Source organism: Homo sapiens, chromosome X (assembly GCF_000001405.40).
Source record: "Homo sapiens chromosome X, GRCh38.p14 Primary Assembly".
In the NCBI taxonomy this organism is placed as follows: domain Eukaryota; kingdom Metazoa; phylum Chordata; class Mammalia; order Primates; family Hominidae; genus Homo; species Homo sapiens.
This window is the reverse complement of record NC_000023.11, coordinates 72552698-72575898: the sequence shown is the minus strand read 5'-3', so window position 1 is coordinate 72575898 and position 23201 is coordinate 72552698. Positions and strand designations below refer to the sequence as shown.

The following is a 23201-nucleotide window of genomic DNA, read 5'->3' as shown; positions in this document are numbered from 1 at the left end:
CAGACTAGAGTGGTGGCAGTACAGAGTGAGAGAAGTGAATGTATTTAAGGCATGTCTTGGACATAGAACCAATGGAAATTTCTGATGGACTGGATCTGCAGGTGAAGGAAAGGAAGAAACACAAATAACTCCCAGGTTTCTGACTTAGGCAACTGGATAGATGTTGATATCTTTACTGAGCTATGAAAGATAGAAAAGGAGTGGAAAGAACTTGGGTGGGGAAATTGGGAGCTTGGTTTTGAAAATGTTGTTGGATATGACTGTTAGGCATCCCAGTGGAGAAAGCCACATCCCTTGCCTAGCTCAGCCACTCTTATGACTTCAGTTTTCTCCTCTTTATATGGAAAAGTGTGTGTGTGTGTATCACTGCAATTGTTTAACCCACTAATTTCTGAAACACTTTTCAACACTTTTAAAATCAGAATCTATGTCTATTCTGCCCTACTGTATGAGTTCTTCCTCCCGATTGCCCTCTTTCTTATATTGCTACCTCTAGTCTTTTCTTTACCCAGAGTTTACATTTAAGAGTTTTCAGCAACCCTTTTCCATCTTCCTCCCTCTCACCAATATCCAAGTAATAAAAAAGTCCTGTTGAACCTACCCTGTACATTATTTCTCCTTTGTTCCCATTGCCCCCACCCTAGTTTAAAATCATTATCACTTCTTATTTGGACCATTGTGGCACTCTAACTGCCCCTAGCCTTTTAATGACTAATCTTTCCTACACACTGCTGCTATAGAAATCTTTTTTCCTTACTATTTCTGTCTAAATATGTTTTCCCATTTCCCACAGAATGTAGTCTATTCTCTTTAGCCTGGTATTCAATGTTCTTCATGATCTGGCCCTTTTAGCTAAACTCGACTAGAAATTTTCCCTTTTGTGTTACTGTTTATGCTGTTCATTCTAGTCAGCATGCCCTCTCCTGGCTCCCATCTTCACCAAGCAAAATCTTGCCCACCTCCTAAGACCCTCTCAAATGCCATCAAAGATGAATTCTAGTTACCATTTATTAAATGCCAGTTATTTAGTACTTAATGCTTATTTATTAAGTAGGCTAAGCATCCTACATTCATTGACTCTGCATTGCCTTTGGTTTCTTGTGTACTTGCCCCATCTTCTGTATAAGAATGCAAATTCTGGCTGGGCGCGGTGGCTCACACTTGTAATCCCAGCACTTTGGGAGGCCGAGGCGGGCGGATCACGAGGTCAGGAGATAGAGACCACGGTGAAACCCCGTCTCTACTAAAAATAAAAAAATTAGCTGGGCGTGGTGGCGGGCGCCTGTAGTCCCAGCTACTTGGACAGGCTGAGGCAGGAGAATGGCATGAACCCGGGAGGCGGAGCTTGCAGCGAGAGGAGATCGCGCCACGGCACTCCAGCCTGGGCGACAGAGCAAGACTCCTCTGTCTCAAAAAAAAAAAAAAAAAAAAAAAGAATGCAAATTCCTTGAGAGCAGAGATCACATCATAATTTACCTTTGAATCCTCAGCTGTACTGTACACTTAATATCAGATAAATGTTTGATGAATGAATGACTGCAGAGCTTTTAACTAGTTACTATGGGAAGACATAAATTAAAGAAACATAAGATCTTACATTCTAGTTACAGAGCACATCACCAAAACACCCCCAAGATTTTCAGAATAAGTATTGAAGGGATACAAAATGGAGGGTGAACAAAGTTATATCATAACACAAAGTCATCCTGGACGAATCAAGTTTATATAATAAAGGGAATGTTCAAAGGCTTCAGTGTCAGGCTGACCTAATTTTGAATTCCTACTTATCTGCTTGTTAAGTATGTGATTTTGAATGTTGTTTCTCTAAACTGCATCTGTAAAATGGGTGTATTGCAACCTCCTTTATAGGACTGTTGCAAGGATGAAATGAGATAATATGGCCAATGTGCATGTCACAATCTTCAATAAATGTTTAAAGTCTAAAAAGCAAGCCAGACTTTAAATATAGTAAGGATATTAGGTTGTCCCAGTGGTGTTAGTCAGTCAGTTTAGGTTGCCATGAGAATTAAGATCCTGAGCACTGGCCAGCTTGTATCAGATCATAGGGGCCTCCAGGAACCTCCAAATGCTGATGGTAATTCTAAAACCGCCTCAGATAGTCTTAAACTGGACCCTCACACCAAACCTAAAATATTTCCCTAATCTATGTTTAGCTGCAGAAACAAGAGGAGGTAGGAGGAGAAGAGCTGCAGTTTCCAAACACCACTGCTTGCAACCTTCCTACCACATGAATGTTCAAGGAGTTACATTTGACATCATTGCTTGATCGGAATCTACCAAGCAATTTCCACTGCACCAGCCAGTCTCTTGGGAAAGTACTATCAGATTTGCCAGAGTAAATTATTGAGATTGTTAACTCTCATGTGGACATGGATAGTTAATGATGAAAAGAAATGAACTATAAAATTGCATCACAGAATTTACTGTGTAAACTTTTCAAACCATTTGTGCCATTAAATAGCGCCCCCACCAAAAAAAAAAAAAAAAAAAAAAAGCCTATCCTTAGGATAGGCAGCTGATGTAGCTGGATGGTGGGGGCTCTAGGTGGCCACGTTCTATCTGTGTTTATATGGTTAAATGGATGAAATGGATGTGTTTGCAGATTGAAACAATTCATAAAGAGTTGAGGCTACTTTTTTTTTTTTTTTTTTTTGGTCTTAGCGCTGAAACTAAAAATCGCGGTTATTTTAGTGTTTAGCCCCGGCTCTTCCGTTGCTCAAACCTCCGGAAACTACATCTCCCAGCATGCTGTGAAACTGGTCTGACTTCATCTCAAATGGCCCCGTAGGGCAACAAGGATGGTTAGTTTTGACCCTACTTATTTGTGCCATAAAAACAATCGATCCTAATTGACAGCTATTTGGACTTTTACATCTGCCAAACCCTTTTCCTTGAACTGTGGTCACTAAATGAGGGGAGTCTGGTCTGGGAAGTCCCATCCATTCCTTCAATAGGATGGGGAGCGGTGATAGTGTCTCCGGCGATCTCAAGAATAGGAGGGAATGTTGACCAGGGAGCACCGCTGCGGCCGATCAGAGGAGCAGGAACTGGAACCCTGGCCGAGTCCGAAAAAAGCCAGATCTGGAAGGTGGCTGCGGAACGGTTTTAAGCGGAAGATGGAGGAGCCGGAGGAACCGGCGGACAGTGGGCAGTCGCTGGTCCCGGTTTATATCTATAGTCCCGAGTATGTCAGTATGTGTGACTCCCTGGCCAAGATCCCCAAACGGGTAAGGGAAGTCGGGATGAAAGACCATGGGCTTTGGGGGTGGGGGTGGGGGCGGTGGACGAAAGAGCGTTAGGAAGCGGAGAGGACACTGGGCTGGGGGAAATCTTCAGAAATTTCGAGTAGCTGTATCAGATACCTAAAGCTGTATCAGAAGGAAGTGTTCTCATATCGTTTCTGAGAGCGCAGCATGTCTCTTCGGGACGTCCAATGGACAGGTAGGAGTGGGGGAGGGGGTACGGAGGAGGGGAGAGGACGCAGTTTCCACTCATAGGGGACCGCTGAAGTCGTGGGAAAACAAGCTGCAGGGGGAAGGTGTTCCATCACCTGCCTAAGGCCCGGTAGCTTTCACCTTAGTGATTTTGATACTTTGTATCTGTATTGTCTAAAGTGTATTGTAACTGTTAACAGAAGGGAAGCCAGTTGAAACAAAATTAATCCGTTCCTTTGTTCAGGATGGTGAGATTGACGGGGATTTTGCTGAATTAAACTTTAAAGAGACTATTTCTGCTTTTCTTTTTTTTTTTTTACGCTGATGTTTTTAGGCCAGTATGGTGCATTCTTTGATTGAAGCATATGCACTGCATAAGCAGATGAGGTAAGTTGTCTTTCTTGAACATAGCCCTGAAGCTAGGTGTTCGTAGCCTTAATATCCTGCTTCACAGTGGGGCAAGGAAAAGAATGGTCTTTTGAAAAAATTATTTTAGCTTTCTGTGAAAGTATTCACAGTGTTTGTAATCTGCCTGTAATCCCAAGAAAGCTCTTGAAGAATTAAGAAAACTTGGGGGGCCGAGAGCATGGCTCACGCCTGTAATCCCAGCACTTTGGGAGGCCTAGGTGGGTGGATCGCCTGAGGTCAGTAATTTGAGACCAGCCTGCCCAACATGGCAAAACCCCGTCTCTACTAAAAATACAAAAAAATTAGCCGGACGTGGTAGCGGGCGCCTGTAATCCCAGCTACTCGGGAGGCTGAGGCAGGAGAATCGCTTGAACCCCGGAGGTGAAGGTTGCAGTGAGCCGAGATTGCACCATTGCACTGCAGCCTGGGCAACAAGAGTGAAACTCCGTCTCAAAAAAAAAAAAAAAAAAAAAAAAAAAAAAGAAAGAAAGAAAGAAAAAGAAAAGAAAACTTGGGACAGGGGAGTGGAAAGTGCAGGAAGCAGTTAAGGTTCATTAGAAATACAGCTCGATTGCTTGGTTAAGTATCCCAGGGGTAGGTGCAGTGCATTGTGGAGATTTTGAGTACATTTGGGTATTAAAACCTGTCTCATACAAAAAGGTGTTCAGCTAGGAGGTGTTCCATTTTTCTTTTGATTTCGTTTCATTCTAAGCCAGATTTGAGGGTGTGAGTTCAACCTAAGACTTTTAGACAACCCACCACCAGCACCAAACTTTAATGGGTGAGGCTGGAGACAGATCAAGACCAAAGAAGGCCGGGCGTGGTGGCTCACGCCTGTAATCCTAGTACTTTGGGAGGCTGAGGCAGGCGGATCATGAGCTCAGGAGATCAAGACCATCCTGGCTAACACGGTGAAACCCCGTCTCTACTAAAAATACAAAAAATTAGCCGGGCGTGGTGGCAGGCGCCTGTAGTCCCAGCTACTCGGGAGGCTGAGGCAGGAGAATGGTGTGAACCCGAGAGGCGGAGCTTGCAGTGAGCCGAGATTGCGCCACTGCACCCCAGCCTGGGTGACAGAGTGAGACTCCGTCTCAAAAAACAAACAAACAAAAAAGACCAAAGAAAACTGCCAAGACTGCGCCAGAACTCAAGAGAGAGCTAACTGTTTCTTCCAAAAACATGAACTTGCTGTTTATTGCCATTTCTGTATTTGATGTCGTTATAAGAGCAAATATAACCCTGCCACATATAGGATTACTTATGACAATTTCTGGCCAAATAGGTGAGTGCTCATACCAACTAGTGTGCTATGCTTCATTTATCTCCCAGAAGGTAGTGTAATAATAGGCTTTCAGATTTTATCCTTATTATTAACAAAATCATTTTGTACCTTTTAAAGGGAATTTTTAAGCCTTTTTTTTTTTTTTTTGATGGAGTCTTGCTTTGTCGCGCAGGCTGGAGTGCAGTGGCGCGATCTCGGCTCATTGCAACCTCCGCCTCCCAGGTTCAAGCGATTCTCCTGCCTCAGCCTCCCGAGTAGCTGGGACTACAGGCACGTGTCACCACACCCATTTTAAGCCATTTTTTAACCCATATGGTTTGGTTAACATAGTAACTATATGCCTTCCATTAAAGTTATTTAACATTTCAAAAAATTATTTTATGACAAACAAGATATCAAAGCAAAGCAAAACTGTCCAGTTTGCTTACTGTTAAATAGGGAGGTTTTCAGTAAGTGTTTTTTAACATTTACCAAAATAAATGGAAGGGTACTAGAAGAGGGAGCTTTTAGGACTGGGAAATACGGTCCGAGATATTACAAAATTTTTATTTTAATGGGTAGATTTTTCACCTCTGGTGGTATAGATTTGTCTTCTTTAAGAAGAAGCAAGAATTCTTGGGTCTTGGCTATGTATTTCACTTTTGAGGCCAAACCACAGGATTTCTTCCAGCTACCTTGGTGATAGTAGTAGCCTGTATAGTCGTATTCATTCATCGTAAACTCATGGCTGTGTTCCCATTCAGCAGACATTTAAAACCACTGCTGCCTCCCTGTGGCCCAGGTCAGGGCTCCTTCAACTTGAATGTGTATATGAATCACCTTAAAATGTGTCATCTTGTTTAAAAATCATCATGTTAAAATACAAATTCTGACTCAGGTCTGAGGCAAGTCTGAAGTTCTGCATTTCTAACAAGCACCCAGGGAATGCTGATGCTCCTGGTCTATGGACCACCCTTTAAGTGGCAAGGGCTAGAGAACAGTAGTGGCAGCTGTGGGGTCAAGAAGAGGAAATGGGGAATAGGCAGCTAGAGGTTAGATGTGGTAAGGCCTCTTATTGGGTTAGCTCCCTTTATTCCCTCACTCGCTTCTATTTGTCATTTTTCGTGAGGAGTAGGTTGAGAGGTTCTGAGTGAAGTCCGGTTCCAACCATTTTGCCCCTTCTCGCCTCGCTCTCAGAGGCAGATAGGAGGGTCCAAGTCTAGAAACATTACATTTTGGGTTGCCCATTTTTTATCTGTTAATAGAATGATAGTTATCCACCAAGCATTTTTGTATGTGTTATCCTTTTATCTTCACATAAGTCCCATAAAGTTCCCCATTTTACAAATAAGAAAACTGAACTACAGAACAGTTGACTTATCTGAGGTTATAGAGCTAGTAAGTACAGAATTAGGACAGGAACCCAATTCTCTGACTCCAAATCTGACTCCAAATTCAAAATGCATGATAACATAGCTGCCTATTAAAATAAAGATATAGCTGAAAGGATTAGATAGCCCAATTCGCAACTGGTTCAAATGAAAATATCCCTGCCTACTAGTTTGTCCTGAAAGTTGTAACTCACAGGGTAAAGTCTGTCTGATACCTGATTATTTGTTTAACTTGAATATAATTACTTTTGTTTACTTACCTATAAACTCAAGGGAAAATCTATCTTCTTGCCCCTTATTAATAGAGTCACTACTGTAGATGTGAGGCAGTGAAGACCGCACAGTGCAGTGGAAGAACAGAATATGTTTATTACTCCAGCCTATTGGAACCAGAAGTTGAGACGTATTTTCTTCTCAGACTGCTGGCTTCTGTTTCTAGCTTCTGGCATACGCTGGGTCTGACTCACTGACCTCTCTTTGTTCTCTCTGTTATTATTAGGATAGTTAAGCCTAAAGTGGCCTCCATGGAGGAGATGGCCACCTTCCACACTGATGCTTATCTGCAGCATCTCCAGAAGGTCAGCCAAGAGGGCGATGATGATCATCCGGACTCCATAGAATATGGGCTAGGTAAAGTCATTACCAGGCAGTGATGGGAGATGGACAGACTAATTTTTTTTATAACTTGTATGATTTTTTTAATATTTTTCGTTAAGAAATCATGTGTTAACTGTCAATCTTAATCTTTTGGTTTAGCCACATATAACTCACTAAACAAGCAAACCATATGAGTTGAGCAAAACCACATGAAGGGTTAGATGAAAGAAAACCTTTCAGTTGCTTATGCCCTACTGGCAGTGCTCAGATCTGGTCTGGCTGTGTATATGCTGATTTAGCTGTCCTGTGACCTTATATTTTAACTGGAGTACAGATTTATGTTCTGGCTAAGTTTTTGTACCTCACCCCTCATTAAACAGCTGCATTTTTTAAAACTGTAAGTGACCTGCAGGATAGTCTAGAAAAACAGCATGGTTTAGCAGAGGAACATTGAACTGGGGGGTCAACAGAGCTGGGTCCCAAGCCTGGCTCTGTGTGACCACTGACAAGACACATCACCTCTCAGGCTTGGTTTCTCTATCTGTAGCCTGTGACTAGTTCATCAGGAGGGTTTATCCTTTCTAGCTCTAACCTTTTAAAATATTATATCCCCAACATTGGAGTTGTTTCTGTCTCAGTTGGAGCTGATATTAGCACAGTGGCTTTTTAGTAGGTTAGGTTGTTGTCACACCTCAACCTATTCCTCCTCTTTTTCCAGTTCACCTTTTAACCAGCTCTTCTGATTTTTGCCCTAAGGTTATGACTGCCCAGCCACTGAAGGGATATTTGACTATGCAGCAGCTATAGGAGGGGCTACGATCACAGCTGCCCAATGCCTGATTGACGGAATGTGCAAAGTAGCAATTAACTGGTCTGGAGGGTGGCATCATGCAAAGAAGTAAGAAAATGACCTTTCTGTTTTCTGACTCTTTCCTTGAGTCAGTTTCTCAGTTATGTAAACTCTTATGCTTATTGTATTGACATTTACAGAGAGACGTGTGTGTATGTGGCACTTTACAAGGCATTCTGAAGAAATCCAAGTGAAATAGAAAAAAGATTACCTAATATAGTGGAAAGCACACTGCTCAAAGTCAGGACACCTGGGCTCTACACCTAGTTTTTCTAACTTGGCTAACTGACTTGGACTGATTACCCTCCCTAGGCCTCAGTTTCTTCATCAATAAAATGAACAAAGGATACAACTAGACAGTCTCTAAATTCCTTTTCGGCTTTCTAGAAATTCCCCTGTCTTCGAGGGACTTACAGTCTAGAAACATTAACAAAATTAGAATAGAGAACAACATTAGTTATGGTACCAATGGAATATATGTATGAGCTGAAGAGACTTATCAGTAGAAAGAAATTAATCATGGAAGTCTTGGCAGAAGTGAATTTTAGAGCTAGTTCTTAAAAGAAGTGGCAAACAGATTTTTAAAAAGGTGGAAAATTGACGCTAATAGGTTTAAAACAAAAGGCTGAAGAATCAAGAAGAGGGCTCATGCTCCTCTAATGAAAGTAGCAACCCAGAGGTAGATGTCTCTCAAAGACAAAGGGCTTGTGAAAAGGCTCTTCCTAGGTGCTTCTTGGAGTTAGAGGAGAAGTCCTTTGGAGTGTTTGTTTGTTTATTTGTTTGTTTGTTTTTGAGACAGAGTCTCGCCCTGTCGTTCAGGCTAGAGTGCAGTTGCGCGATCTCAGCTTACTGCAACCTCCTCCTTCCCAGTTCAAGTGATTCTCCTGCCTCAGCCTCCTGAGTAGCTGGAATTACAGGCACCCGCCATCATGCCCAGCTAATTTTTGTATTTTTGTAGAGACAGGGTTTCACCACGTTGGCCAGGCTGGTCTTAAACTCCTGACCTCAGGTGATCTGCCTGCCTTGGCCTCCCAAAGTGCTGGGATTACAGGGGTGAGCCACCGCGCCTGGCCACCTTCTAGAGTTTTATGTTAACATGTCAAACTGCAGTAGTCTGTCTGAGAAGGATTGCTGGGCCCTCCTTCAGCATTTGGGACTTTGTTTGATATTTCTGTAGTACTTAATCCACATTGAAGAAGAAGGATTTTTTAAACTCTGAATTTATCGATCCTCTGTCTGAGAGAAATGAAGCCACTGTGGTAGTAACTGCCAATGCCTCACTCAGGAATCAATTGTTCATGCAATCAACCGTGACCTTAGGTGCTCTTAGGTCAAGAGAAAACAACACTTTGTTTTTCAGAATAAAACACAGCACAACTTCAGCATATGCAGGTTAAGATAATAACAGAATTTTTTCCATCAAATTGACAGATTTTGTGGCCAAGGAAGTCCTTGAAAAAGTTTACTGCTAGAATTTACTAGTTGGGCAACACAGCAAAGGAAACCAATGTTTTAGTAATGAGTCTTACATGGTTTTAAAAACAGAGACAAGCTGCCTTTTGTTAGCTTTTGCTTGCTTGCCTGCTTGCTTTTTTCTTGCTTTGTTTGTTTGTTTGTTTGTTTTTTGTTTTTTGTTTTTTAATAAAGACAATGTCTCCCTATGTTGCCCAGGCTGATCTTGAACTCCTGGGCTCAAGGGATCCTCCATCCTCAGCCTCCCAAGGTGCTGGCATTACAGGTATGTGCCACCACACCTGGCCTCTTTCTTTCTTTCTTGTTTTGTTTTTTTCGAGACAGAGTCTCTCTCTGTCACCAAGGCTGGAGTGCAGTGGTGCAATCATAGCTCACTGCAGTCTCGAACTCCTGGGTTCAAGGGATCTGCCCACCTCAGCCTTCTAGGTAGCTAGGACTACAGGCACGTGCCACCATGCTTGGATAATTTTTGTATTTTTTGTAGAGATGAGGTCTTGCTATGTTGCCCAGGCTGGTCTCAAATTCCTGGCCTCAAGTGATCCTCCCACCTTGGCCTCCCAAAGTGCTGGCATTACACATGACAGCCACTGCACACCGCCTGCCTTTTTTTTAAATTCAAAATAAAGACAATGACTGCTAGGAGAAAAAAAATGACCCTCTCCCCTCCCAGGTGCAGAGTGAAAGGAGAAAGCTAAGCTTCTCTGAACGAAAGACTTCTAGGTCCTCTTGGGCTTGGCAAGTTGAGAAGAAAAGTAGTGTGGCTTCATAGAAAAGGCTTGCTTCTATGAATGACATCCAGTTTATTATGCAATTAAATTAACTGCAGAAGGCCTACTAGGGCCTGGGTCATTTTCCAGTGGAGTACTCTGCTTCTTATTACTGTTTTGCTGCCAAAGGAAGTACACTCTGTCTTGACCCAATCACGACTGCTTCTGGGCTGCACACAGACATGGGGATACCCACATATATCGCCTTAACTGTTGTAGACATCTTTCAGCTGATCCTGCATGGAAACGGACATGCCTGTGATAAATATAAATTACAGAGTCTCTAGAGATTGCCCCAGTTTAGGTCTGAATTCCAAGGTGTTCTTGGCATAACTAGAACCTCTCTGTAGATGGACTACAGGCATTTAGGCCACAAACTTACATCTAGCCAACATTTACCTATTATAATCACAATATTTGCTTAAACTTCCCATCTGCAAATATATGTACAGATTCATACATGCCATTTATTCATTGAACAAGCATTGATTAGGCACCTACTACATGTCAAATGTATGTTTATCATCACCAGTAAGCAGAGATATAGAAATTGAAGCAAGATATATTGTTTCCCCTACCAAGTTTGAAAAAGATTCTTTATTTCAAAATATCCAGGTGGTAGAAGGATTACAGTGAAATTAATACAACCCCTTTTGAAAACCTTGGAAGTGTTAAGAATGGGAAAAAATGTTCATACCAGTTGGGCCAGTAACAATATTCTTGGCAATCTATTCTAAGGAAATAAACCAATTCTACCTGCAAGAAATTTATATCTTAGGAGTAAGACAGCAAATAATTGCATTTGAAAGCTAAAAAAGGATGATTTTCAAAGAATATTCTACAAAAGAAGAGTAACGAAGGACTAATACTATTAGATATTAAGCATCCAAAACTACAGTAATGAAAACACTGGTACAAAAATTAGACAGATAGGTTATAGTACACCCCCCACCCCAACAAAGAGACCAATTATATAGAATTTAATCTATTACAAAGGATGCATTGCAAGTGAATGGGAGTTGAAAGGTCTGTTGAGTAAATGAATGGTATTGTGACAGCTTGTACCATTATACCCTCATCTACTGTAATAAACTAAAATGAGTGACAGCTAGATTGAAAAGTTAAATATTTAAAAAAGCAAATTTTAAACACTAGAGTGAATGGATATTTATCAAGCTTCTAAAGGGGAAGAATTTTCTAAGCTTAGAAAGTAATTTTTTAAAATCACAAAGGAAAAGATCAAACCCGACTGTACAAAATTTTAAAACCAAAATAACTTTTAAAAGGTTTTTTGGCTATTTTCAAAATCTAAACACAGACTGAAAAAGCCTATGTATCATAAATATGACAAAGTGTAATAGGCTTGTATTATCTAACCCACTCCTACAATATAATGTATAAGAAGAAATCTGCACAAAGAACACGAATAGACAATTTACAAAGGAGTTTAAGGACAACTGGAAAACATTGGAAAATGTTCATCACTACTAATCAAAGAAATGTAAATTAAAACCATTAGGTAAGCCTCTTTTTTTTGAGACAGAATCTCGGCTCTGTCATCCAGGCTGGAGTGCAATGGTGTGATCTCGGCTCACTGCATCCTCTGCCTCCCGGGTTCAAGCGATTCTCCTGCCTCAGCCTCTTGAGTAGCTGGGATTACAGGCGCGTGCCACCATGCCCGGCTAATTTTTTTATTTTTAGTAGAGACGGGGTTTCACCGTGTTGGTCAGGCTGGTCTCGAACTCCTGACCTCATGATCTGCCTGCCTCGGCCTCCCAAGGTGCTGGGATTACAGGCATGAGCCACCACTTTTTAAGCCTAAATTTAACAGAATTGAAAAAGATGGTACTCAGTTTCCTAGTGAGTGTGGTTTGGAAGAAAGCATTTTGGTAGCCAATGTGTATTAATGCCCTTTGATCAGGTAATCTTACTTCTGGGAATGTGGCCTAATTTTTTTTTTAAATATGGGAAACAAACTATTTTCATGAAGGTATTTATCAGTGTTATTTATAAAATTTTAAAAACTAAAATAACATGAATGCCTAGCAATAAAGGAATGGTGAATCTACTCCTTAGAATATTATCCTATTGTTTTACTGTTTTTCTTCTGTGCAAAAGCTTTTTGTTTTTATTTATTTATTTATTATTTACTTATGAGACAGGGTCTTGCTCTGTCGCCCAGGCTGGAGTGCAGTTGCACGGTCTTGGCTCACTGCAACCTCTGCTCCCCAAAGGTCAAGCAATCCTCCCACATCAGCCTCCTGAGTAGCTGGGACTACAGGCACATACCACCACACCTGGCTTTTTTTGTAGAGATGGGGTCTTGCCATGTTGTCCAGGCTGGTCTCTAACTCCTGGGCTCAAGCAATCAGCCCACTTTGCCCTCCCAAAGTGCTGGGATTACAGTTGTGTGCCACCATGCCCAGCCTTATGCTATTATTTTAAATAATGATTATAAGGATTATAGGGAACTTCAGATAAATACTTTATGTGTGTCAATAAAAAAGCAGGTCTTGGCTGGGTGCAGTGGCTCATGCCTGTAATCCAAGCACTTTAGGAGGCCGAGGCAGGTGGATCACCTGAGGTCAGGAGTTCAAGACCAGCCTGGCCAACATGGTGAAACCTTGCCTCTACTAAAAATACAAAAATTAGCCGGGTATGGTGGCGGGCACCTGTAATCCCAGCTACTCGGGAGGCTGAGGCAGGAGAATCGCTTGAACCCAGGAGGCAGAGGTTGCGGAGAGCCGAGATCGTGCCACTGCACACCAGCCTGGGTGACAGAGTGAGACTGTGTCTCAGAAAAAAAAAAAAAAAGAAAAAAAATAGGTCTTAAAAATGTATGCACATTGTAATCACAGCTTTGTAAAACATATGAAGAAAAAAAGACTGGTGGGAATGATAACAGTGGTTATCTTAGAATAACAATAATATAGTGGCAGAATTATTTTTTCTCCCAAATATTATTTTTTATTTTTTAATTTAATTTTCTTTTTACAACTTTATATATATATTTTTTTATTTCAATAGGCTTTTGGAGAACAGGTGGCGTTTGGTTACATGAGTAAGTTATTTAGTAGTGATTTCTGAGCTTTTGGTGCACCCATCACCCAAGCAGTGTACACTGTACCCATTGTGTAGTCTTTTATCCCTTATCACCCCTCATCCTTTCCCCCGAGTCCCCAAAGTCTAATGTGTTGTTCTTATGCCTTTGTGTCCTTATAGCTCATCTTCCACATGAATGAGAACATACGACGTTTGGTTTTCCATTCCTGAGTTACTTCACTTAGAATAATAGTCTCCAATTCCATCCATGTTGCTATGAATGCCATTATCTCATTCCTTTTTATGGCTGAGTAGTATTCCATGGTGTATATATAAAACATTTTCTTTATCCACTTGTTGATTGATGGGCATTTGGGCTGGTTCCATATTTTTGCATTTGCAAATTGTGCTGCTATAAACATGCGTGTGCAAGTATCTTTTTCGTATAATGACTTCTTTTTTTCTGGGTGGATACCTAGTAGTGGGATTGCTAAATCAAATGGTAGATCTACTTTTAGTTCTTTAAGGAGTCTCCACACTGTTTTCCATAGTGATTGTACTAGTTTACATTCCCACCAGCAGTGTAAAAGTGTTCCCTTTTCACCACATCCATAACAACATCTATTATTTTTTGATTTTTTTATTATGGCCATTCTTGCAGGAGTGAGATAGTATCACATTGTGGTTTTGATTTGCATTTTCCTGATCGCTAGTGATGTTGAGCATTTTTTCATATGTTTGTTGGCCATTTGTATATCTTCTTTTGAGAATTGTCTATTCATGTCCTTAGCTCACTTTTTAGTGGGATTATTTGCTTTTTTCTTGCTGATTTGTTTGAGTTCTTTGTAATTCTGGATATTGGTCCTCTGTCAGATGTATAGATTGTGAAGATTTTCTCCCACTCTGTGGGTTGTTAACTCTGCTGATTATTTCTTTTGCTGTGCAGAAGCATTTTAGCTTAATTATGTTTCATCTATTTATCTTTATTTTTGTTGTATTTGTTTTTGGGTCTTTGGTCATGAATTCTTTGCCTAAGCCAATGTCTAGAAGGGTTTTTCCAATGTTATCTTCTAGAATTTTTATAGTTTCAGGTCTTAGATTTAAGTCTTTGATCCATCTCGAGTTGATTTTTTGATAAGGTGAGAGATGGGGATCCAGTTACATTCTTCTACATGTGGCTTGCCAATTATCCCAGCACCATTTGTTGAATAGGGTGTCCTTTCCCCACTTTATGTTTTTGTTTGCTTTGTCAAAGATGAGTTGGCTATAAGCATTTGGCTTTATTTCCAGCTTCTCTATTCTGTTCCATTGGTCTATGTGCTATTTTTATACCAGTATCGTGCTGTTTTGGTGACTATGGCCTTATAGTTTGTAGTTGGGTAATGTGATGCCTCCAGATTTGTTCTTTTTGCTTAGTCTTAGTTTTGGCTTAGCTTTTGGTTCCATATAAATTTTAGGATTGTCTTTTCTATTTCTGTGAAGAATGATGGTGGTATTTTGATGGGAATTGCACTGAATTTGTAGATTGCTTTCGGCAGTATGGTCATTTTCACAATATTGATTCTACCCATCCATGAGCATGGAATGTGTTTTCATTTGTGTTGTCTCTGATTTCTTTCAGCAGTGTTTTGTAGTTTTCCTTGTAAAAGTCTTTCATGTCCTTGATTAGGTATATTCTTTTTTTTTTATTTTTATTAGTAAACTACATTCAATCATATTTTAATCATATTTTTAAAAGATAATACATCATGAAAAAGTAGAATTTATACCAGGAATATAAGTATACTGTAACATTCAAAAATCAATAAATGCAATTCACCACATAAGTGTATTAAAAAACAAACCATATGGTTGTCCCAATAGACACAGAAAAGGCATTTGAAAAAGTTCACCTTCGGGCCATGATAAATATAGTCAGCAAACTAGGAATAGAAGGGAACTTCCTCAAATTGATGAGGGCCATCTACAAAGAACCTATAGATAACATCATTCATAATGGCGAAATACTGAATACTTTCCCACTAAGATTGGAAACAAGGTAAAGGTGTCCATTGTTACCATTTCTTTTTTTTTTTTTTTTTTTTTTTTTAGTATTTATTGATCATTCTTTGGTGTTTCTCGGAGAGGGGGATTTGGCAGGGTCATAGGACAATAGTGGAGGGAAGGTCAGCAGATAAACAAGTGAACAAGGGTCTCTGGTTTTCCTAGGCAGAGGACCCTGCGGCCTTCCACAGTGTTTGTGTCCCTGGGTACTTGAGATTAGGGAGTGGTGATGACTCTTAATGAGCATGCTGCCTTCAAGCATCTGTTTAACAAAGCACATCTTGCAACGCCCTTAATCCATTTAACCCTGAGTGGACACAGCACATGTTTCAGAGAGCACGGGGTTGGGGGTAAGGTTATAGATTAACAGCATCCCAAGGCAGAAGAATTTTTCTTAGTACAGAACAAAATGGAGTCTCCTACGTCTACTTCCCTCTACACGGACACAGCAACAATCTGATTTCTCTATCTTTTCCCCACATTTCCCCCTTTTCTAGTCGACAAAACCGCCATCGTCATCATGGCCCGTTCTCAATGAGCTGTTGGGTACACCTCCCAGACGGGGTGGTGGCCAGGCAGAGGGGCTCCTCACTTCCCAGACGGGGCGGCCGGGCAGAGGCGCCCCCCACCTCCCAGACGGGGCAGCGGCCGGGCGGGGGCTGCCCTCCACCTCCCTCCTGGACGGGGCGGCTGGCGGGGTGGGGGCTGCCCTCCACCTCCCTCCCGGACGGGGTGGCTGCCAGGCGGAGACGCTCCTCACTTCCCAGACGGGGCAGCTGCTGGGCGGAGGGGCTCCTCACTTCACAGACGGGCGGCTGCTGGGCGGAGGGGCTCTTCACTTCTCAGACGGGGCGGCCGGGCAGAGATGCTCCTCACCTCCCAGATGGGGTCCCGGCTGGGCAGAGGCGCTCCTCACATCCCAGACGGGGTGGCGGGGCAGAGGTGCTCCCCACATCTCAGACGATGGGCGGCCGGGCAGAGACGCTCCTCACTTCCTAGATGGGATGGCGGCCGGGAAGAGGCACTCCTCACTTCCCAGACTGGGCGGCGGGGCAGAGGGGCTCCTCACATCCCAGACGATGGGCGGCCAGGCAGAGACGCTCCTCACTTCCCAGACGGGGTGGCGGCCGGGCAGAGGCTGCAATCTCGGCACTTTGGGAGGCCAAGGCAGGCGGCTGGGAGGTGGAGGTTGTAGCGAGCAGAGATCACGCCACTGCACTCCAGCCTGGGCAACATTGAGCACTGAGTGAGTGAGACTCCATCTGCAATCCCGGCACCTCGGGAGGCCGAGGCTGGCAGATCACTCGCGGTTAGGAGCTGGAGACCAGCCTGGCCAACACAGCGAAACCCCGTCTCCACCAAAAAAGTACGAAAACCAGTCAGGCGTGGCAGCACGCCTGCAATCCCAGGCACTCGGCAGGCTGAGGCAGGAGAATCAGGCAGGGAGGTTGCAGTGAGCCGAGATGGTGGCAGTACAGTCCAGCTTCGGCTCGGCATCAGAGGGAGACCGTGGAGAGAGAGGGAGAGGGAGAGGGAGACCGTGGGGAGGGGGAGGGGGGGAGGGGGAGGGGGAGGGGGAGAAGCTAGGTATATTCTTAAGTATTTTATTTTTTCTGCAGCTATTGTGAAAGGGGTTGAGTTCTTGATTTGATTATCAGCTTTGTTGCTGTGGTGCATAGCACAGCTATTGATTTATGTATATTAATTTTGTATCCTAAAACTTTGCTGAATTCATTTACCAGTTCTAGGAGCTATTTGGATGAGTCTTCAGGGTTTTCTAGGTATATGATCATATCATCAACAAAGAGCAACAGTTTGACTTCCTCTTTACCGATTTGGGTGCCCTTTATTTCTTTCTCTTGTCTGATTGCTCTGACTAGGACTTCCAGTACTATGTTGAATAGAAGTGGTGAAAGTGGGCATCCTTTTCTTCTTCCAGTTCTTGGGGGGAATGCTTTCAACTTTTGCCCGTTCAGTATAATGTTGGCCGTGGGTTTGTTGTAGATTATTACCTTTTATTACCTTAAGGTACGTCCCTCCTATGCCAATTTTGCTCGGGGTTTTAATCATAAAGCGATGCTGAATTTTGTCAAATGCTTTTTCTGCATCTATTGAGATGATCATGCGATTTTTGTTTTTAATTCTGTTTATGTGGTATATCACACTTATTGACTTGTGTATGTTAAACTATCCCTGCATCTCTAATATCGAACCCAGTTGATCATGGTGAATTATCTTTTGATATCCTGTTGGATTTGGTTCACTATTATCTTGTTGAAGATTTTTGCATCTTCATCAGGGACTTTGGTCTGTAGTTTTCTTTTTTTGTTATGTCCTTCCCTAGTTTTGGTATTAGGGTGATATTGGCTTCATAGAATGATTTAGGGAGGATTCCCTCTTCCTCTAACTTTTGGAATAGTGTCAATAAGATTGGTATCAATTCTTCTTTGAATGTCTGATAGAGTTCAACTGTGAATTCGTCTGGTCCTGTGCACTTTTTTGTTGGCATTTTTTGTTGTTGTTGTTACCATTTCAATCTCGCTGCTTGTTACTGGTCTGTTCAGAGATGCTTTATGTTCCTGGTTTAATGTAGGAGGGTTGTATATTTCCAGGAATTTATCCATCTCCTTTAGGTTTTCTAGTTTGTGCACGTAAGTGTTCTTAGTAGCATTGAATAATCTTTGGTATTTCTGTGGTATCAGTTGTAATATCTCCCATTTCATTTCTACTTGAGCTTATTTGGATCTTCTCTCTTCTTTCCTTGGTTCATCTTGCCAATTGTCTATCAATTTTATTTATTTTAAAAGAACCAGCGTTTTGCTTCATTTATCTTTTGTATTTTTTTGTTTGTTTGTTTCAGTTTCATTTAGTTCTGCTCTGATCTTGGTTATTTCTTTTCTTCTGCTGGGTTTGGGCTTGGATTGTTCTTGTTTCTCCAGTTTCATGAGGTGTGCCCTTAGATTGTCTATTTGTGCTCTTTCAGACTTTTTAATGTAGGTATTCAATGCATTTGCTAAGGGGCATTTCCCCTTAGCACTGCTTTTGCTGTATCCTAGAGGTTTTGATAGGTTGTGTCACTATTATCGTTCTGTTCAAAGAATTTTTTAACTTTTGTCTTGATTTCATTGTTGACCCAATGTTCATTCAGAAGCAGGTTATTTAATTGCCATGTATTTGCATGGTTTTGAGGGTGCCTTTTGGAGTTTATTTCTAATTTTATTCCACTGTGATCTGAGAGAGTACTTGATATAATTTTGATTTTTAAAATCAAGGCTTGTTAAAGATTTTCTTAAGTGAGACTTGTTTTGTGGCCTATCATATGGTCTGTCTTGGAGAATGTTCCATGTGCTGATGAATAGAATGTATATTCTGCAGTTGTTGGGTAGAATGTTTTTTTGTTTGTTTGTTTGAGGTGGAGTCTCCCTCTGTCGCCCAGGCTGGAGTGCAGTGGCACAGTCTCAGCTCACTGCAAGCTCCGCCTCCCGGGTTCACGCCATTCTCCTTCCTCAGCCTCCCTACAGGCTCCCACCACCATGCCGGGCTAATTTTTTGTATTTTTAGTAGAGACGGGGTTTTACCATGTTAGCCAGGATGGTCTGGATCTCCTGACCTCATGATCCACCCGTCTCGGCCTCCCAAAGCGCTGGGATTACAGGCGTGAGCCACCGCGCCCAGCCTGGGTAGAATGTTCTATAAATCTCTGTTAAGTCCATTTGTTCGAGAGTATAGTTTAAGTCCATTGTTTCTTTGTTGACTTCCTGTCTGGATAACCTGTCTAGTGCTGTCAGTGGAGTATTACAGTCCCTCACTATAATTGTGTTGCTGTCTATCTCATTTCTTAGGTCTAATAGTAATTGTTTTATAAAGTTGGGAGCTCCAGTGTTAGGTGCATATATATTTAGAATTGTGATATTTTCCTGTTGGACTAGTCCTTTTATCATTATATAATGTCCCTCTTTGTCTTTTCTAACTGCTGTTGCTTTAAAGTTTGTTTTGTCTGATATAAGAATAGCTACTCCTGCTTGCTTTTGGTGTCCATTTGCATGGAATATCTTTTTCTGCCCCTTTACCTTCAGTTTATGTAAGTCCTTATGTGTTAGGTGAGTCTCCTGAAGATAGCAGAAACTCGGTTGGTGAATTCTTATCCATTCTGCCATTCTGTATCTTTTAAGTGGAGCATTTAGGCTACGTTCAATGTTAGTATTGAGATTGAGGTACTATTCTATTCATCATGCTAGTTGTTGCCTGAATATCTTGGTTTTTATAAATTGTATTGTTGTTATATAGGTCCTGTGAGATTTATGCTTTAAGGAGCTTCTATTTCAGTTTATTTTGAGGATTTGTTTCAAGATTTATGCTTATTTTTAGCAATTCTTGTAGTGCTGGCTTTGTAGTGGCAAATTCTCTCAGCATTTTTTTTGCCTGGAAAAGACCATATCTTTCCTTCATTTATGAAGCTTAGTTTCCAGTGGATACAAAATTCTTGGTTGATAATTGTTTTGTTTAAGGAGGCTAAAAATAGGACCCCAATCCCTTCCAGCTTGTAAGGTTTCTGCTGAGAAATCTGTTAATCTGATAGGTTTTCCTTTATAGGTTACCTCATGCTTTTGCCTCACAGCTCTTAAGATTCTTTCCGTCGTCTTGACTTTAGGTAACTGATGACTATGTGCCTAGGTGATGATCATTTTGCAATGAATTTCCCAGGTATTCTTTGAGCTTCTTGTATTTGGATGTCGAGCTCTCTAGCAAGGCTGGGGAAGTTTTCCTTAATTATCCCTTCAAATATGTTTTCCAAACTTTTAGATTTATCTTCTTCGTTGGAAACACAAATTATTCTTAGGTTTGGACATTTAACATAGTCCCAAACTTCTTGGAGGCTTTGTTCATTTGTTAAAATTCTTTTCTCTTTGTGTTTGACAGATTGGGTTAATTCAAAAGCCTTGTCTTTGAGCTCTGAAGTTCTTTCTTCTGTTTGTTCAATTATATTGCTGAGACTTTCCAGTGCATTTTGCATTTCTCTAAGTGTGTCCTTAATTTCCAGAAGTTGTGATTGTTTTTTATTTATGCTCTCCATTTCACCGAATAATTTTCCTTTCATATCCTTTATCATGTTTTTGATTTCTTTAAGTTGGACTTCACCTTTCTCTGGTGGCTCCTTGATTAGCTTAATAATCGACCTTCTGAATTCTTTTTCTGGCAATTCAGGGATTTTTGTCTTGGTTTGGATCCATTGCTGGTGAGCTGGTATGATCTTTTGGGGATGTTAAATAACCTCGTTTTGTCATATTACCAGAATTCTGTTTCTGGTTCCTTCTCATTTGGGTAGACTGTATCTGAGGGAAGATCTGGGATTCAAGCGCTGCTGTTCAGACTCTTTTGTCCCACGGGGTGCTCCTTTGATGTGTTGTTCTCCTCCTTCCCCTAGGAATGGGGCTCCCTAAGAGCTAAACTGTAGCGATTGTTTTTGCTCTTCTGAGTCTAGCCACCCAGCAGAGCTACCCAGCTCTGGCCTGGTACTGGGGAGTGTCTGTAAAGAGTGCTGTGATGTGATCTGTCTTCAGGTCTTGCAGTTGCTCCAGTGGAGGTAGCAGGGGAGTGAAGTGGAGGGTCCTTAGTTGTGTTTTTCTTAAGTGCACCGGTTTTGTGTTGGTTGGCCTCCAGCCAGGAGGTGGCGCCTTCAAGAACGCATCAGCTGTGGTCCTATAGGGAGGATGCAAACTTGCCCTGGGGACACCTGTTTAAGTATTCAGGTTTCTCAGGCAGCGGGCAGGGCCATAGAACTCCCAAGAGATTATGACCTTTGTCTTTGTCTATTGGGGCAGGTAGAGAAAGACCACCAGGTGGAGGCAGGGGTAGGTGTGTGTCTGAGCTCAGAGTCTCCTTGGGTGGGGCCTGCTGTGGGGGACGGGGGTGTGGTTCCCAGTCCAGTAGAGTTACATTCCCAGGGGGATTATGGCTGCCTCTGCTGAGTCATACAGGTCTCCAGGAAAGTGAGGGAAAGCCGGCAGTCACAGGCTTCACCCCGCTCCCATGCAGCCTGCAGTCCTAGAGGCCGGTCTCACTCCCACTGTGCCTCGCTCCCCGCGCTCCCCGCCCTCCCCGCCCTCCCCGCTCCCCCCGCCCTACCCGCTCCAAACAGCACTGAGTCTATTTCCAGGCAGCCAGTGACCAGGGCTGAGAACTTGCCCCAGACCATGAGCCTCCCTGTTGAGAAAGCAAGCCAACTTACAGTTGTTTGGCATCTCAGGGAGCCTGCAGCAGTGATCCAGTTCCTTCAAAGGGTCTGTGGATTTTCTTGGCTTCCCTGGTATGTTCCTGGGGTAGTTTTAGGAGCAAAAGTTCATGATGTGAGTCTCCACATGCTGCTCTGTCCATCCGAGCAGGAGCTGTAAGCTAGTCCTGCCTCCTAGCCACCATATTAGTAGGCAGAATTATTGATGATTTTTTAAACATATTTTTCTCTAGTTTTCAAAATTTCTGTAATGATATGATATTATTTTGTAGCTAAAATTTTACCAAGATAAAAAGAGAATCCCCAAAATTACAGCAAATGTAACAAAGGGTTAAAATCTCTAACTGTTCTAATTGATTTTTTTAAACACTAATACTCAGATAAATGAACAAAAAACACAAATAGACAATTCACAAAAGAGGAAACATTAAACAAGCATGAAAAAATATTTAGTATCACTAATAAATAGAGGAATTGAAATATTAGCAGTTAGCCCTTGAACAACACAGGTTTGAACTGTGGGGATTAATTTATATGCAGATTTTTTTCTATAAATACAGTCAGCCCTCCGTATCAGCAGGTTCTGCATCTGCAACCAAATACAGATACAAAATACAGTATTTACCGAATGCAAAACCCACATATACAGAGGGCTGACTTTTATCATCTGCGGGTTCCATGGGGCCAACTGTGGGATTTGAGTGTGCATGGATTTTGGTATCTGCAGGGGTCCTGGAACCAATCACCCACAGATATCAAGGGATTGTATATATATTTTTCCCTCCTACCAATATGAGCCAAACAAAGGAAGATCTTTGATAACATCTATTACTCTTGGTAATCTATTCTAAGGAAGTAAACCGACCCAAAATATGGTAAAGATGTGTTTGTGAAGATGGTACTTTCTCTGTTACTTATAGTAGCCAAAAAAGGGGCAGGAGGGAGACCCAAATATTCAACAACAGTGGGTTAGGTAGTATACTGCAACATATCCACTTGAAGGGATATTATAAAACCATTAAAAATGGTGGCTATTGGCCAGGCGCGGTGGCTCACACCTGTAATCCCAGCACTTTGGGAGACCGAGGCAGGCGGATCACAAGGTCAAGAGATCGAGACTGTCCTGGCCAACATGGTGAAACCCCGTCTCTACTAAAAATACAAAACATTAGCTGGGCATGGTGGCATGAGCCTGTAATCCCAGCTACCCAGGAAGTTGAGGCAGGAGAATCACTTGAACCTGGGAGGAGGAGGCTGCAGTGAGCCTAGATCATGCCACTGCACTCCAGCCTGGGCGACAGAGGGAGATGCCATCTCAAAATAAATAAATAAATAAATAGGGTGGCTAGTACAACTGCATAAATAGAAAAAATGCTTATCTTATAATGTTGATTTTGTTTTTAAAGGGCAGTTGGCTAAACCTCATATATTCACTTAGAGTCCTGTAAAGAATATATGCATATGAAAATATCTTAGAGGGAAATAAAACACAATGTTAACAGTGGCTTTGTGAGGATGGTGATATTGGGTATGTGATACACATATATATATATGTATATATACGTATATATACACATACATATATATATTTTTTTTTTTTTCTAAGACAAGAGTTTCACTCTGTCACCTAGGCTGGAGTGCAGTTGTGCAATCATGGTTTACTGCAGCCGCAGCCTTCTGGG

General features: G+C 41.9%; 1 protein-coding gene across 21 annotated transcripts in view, besides 5 other annotated features; it reads left to right on the top strand.

The window, feature by feature from the left end:
• Positions 2964 to 3093: an enhancer, noted in NCBI's record as "active region_29762". NCBI's record gives its function as "activates an Ori minimal core promoter by ATAC-STARR-seq in GM12878 lymphoblastoid cells {active_cell/tissue: GM12878}" and the evidence as "EXISTENCE:reporter gene assay evidence [ECO:0000049][PMID:35858748]".
• The window catches only part of HDAC8 (histone deacetylase 8), a 243328-nt gene continuing 223182 nt past the window's right edge, over positions 3056 to 23201 (top strand). For 12 of the 21 annotated variants that reach the window (NR_199812.1, NR_199813.1, NR_199814.1 and 9 more), the window contains exons 1-4: positions 3056 to 3248; positions 3790 to 3842; positions 7015 to 7145; positions 7869 to 8010. Coding sequence is in view for 16 of the 21 variants with exons in the window: in NM_001441234.1 (NP_001428163.1) it covers positions 3138 to 3248; positions 3790 to 3842; positions 7015 to 7145; positions 7869 to 8010 (437 nt within the window). In the remaining 5 variants the exon portion in view is untranslated. Of the gene's footprint in view, positions 3249 to 3789; positions 3843 to 7014; positions 7146 to 7868; positions 8318 to 23201 lie in introns of those variants that run through there. The other 9 variants (XM_047442255.1, XM_017029644.3, NM_001166418.2 and 6 more) reach the window with 5 other exon arrangements.
• Positions 20455 to 21263: an enhancer, noted in NCBI's record as "NANOG-H3K27ac hESC enhancer chrX:71774486-71775294 (GRCh37/hg19 assembly coordinates)". NCBI's record gives its function as "activates a minimal SCP1, AML or CMV promoter by ChIP-STARR-seq in naive and primed H9 embryonic stem cells {active_cell/tissue: H9 hESC(naive and primed)}" and the evidence as "EXISTENCE:reporter gene assay evidence [ECO:0000049][PMID:30033119]".
• Positions 20455 to 22073: a biological region, named in NCBI's record as "MED14-independent group 3 enhancer GRCh37_chrX:71773892-71775091".
• Positions 20658 to 21857: an enhancer, noted in NCBI's record as "MED14-independent group 3 enhancer chrX:71773892-71775091 (GRCh37/hg19 assembly coordinates)". NCBI's record gives its function as "activates an origin of replication core promoter dependent on BRD2, BRD4, P300/CBP and CDK7 cofactors, and independent of MED14, by STARR-seq in HCT116 cells {active_cell/tissue: HCT116}" and the evidence as "EXISTENCE:reporter gene assay evidence [ECO:0000049][PMID:35650434]".
• Positions 21264 to 22073: an enhancer, noted in NCBI's record as "H3K27ac hESC enhancer chrX:71773676-71774485 (GRCh37/hg19 assembly coordinates)". NCBI's record gives its function as "activates a minimal SCP1, AML or CMV promoter by ChIP-STARR-seq in primed H9 embryonic stem cells {active_cell/tissue: H9 hESC(primed)}" and the evidence as "EXISTENCE:reporter gene assay evidence [ECO:0000049][PMID:30033119]".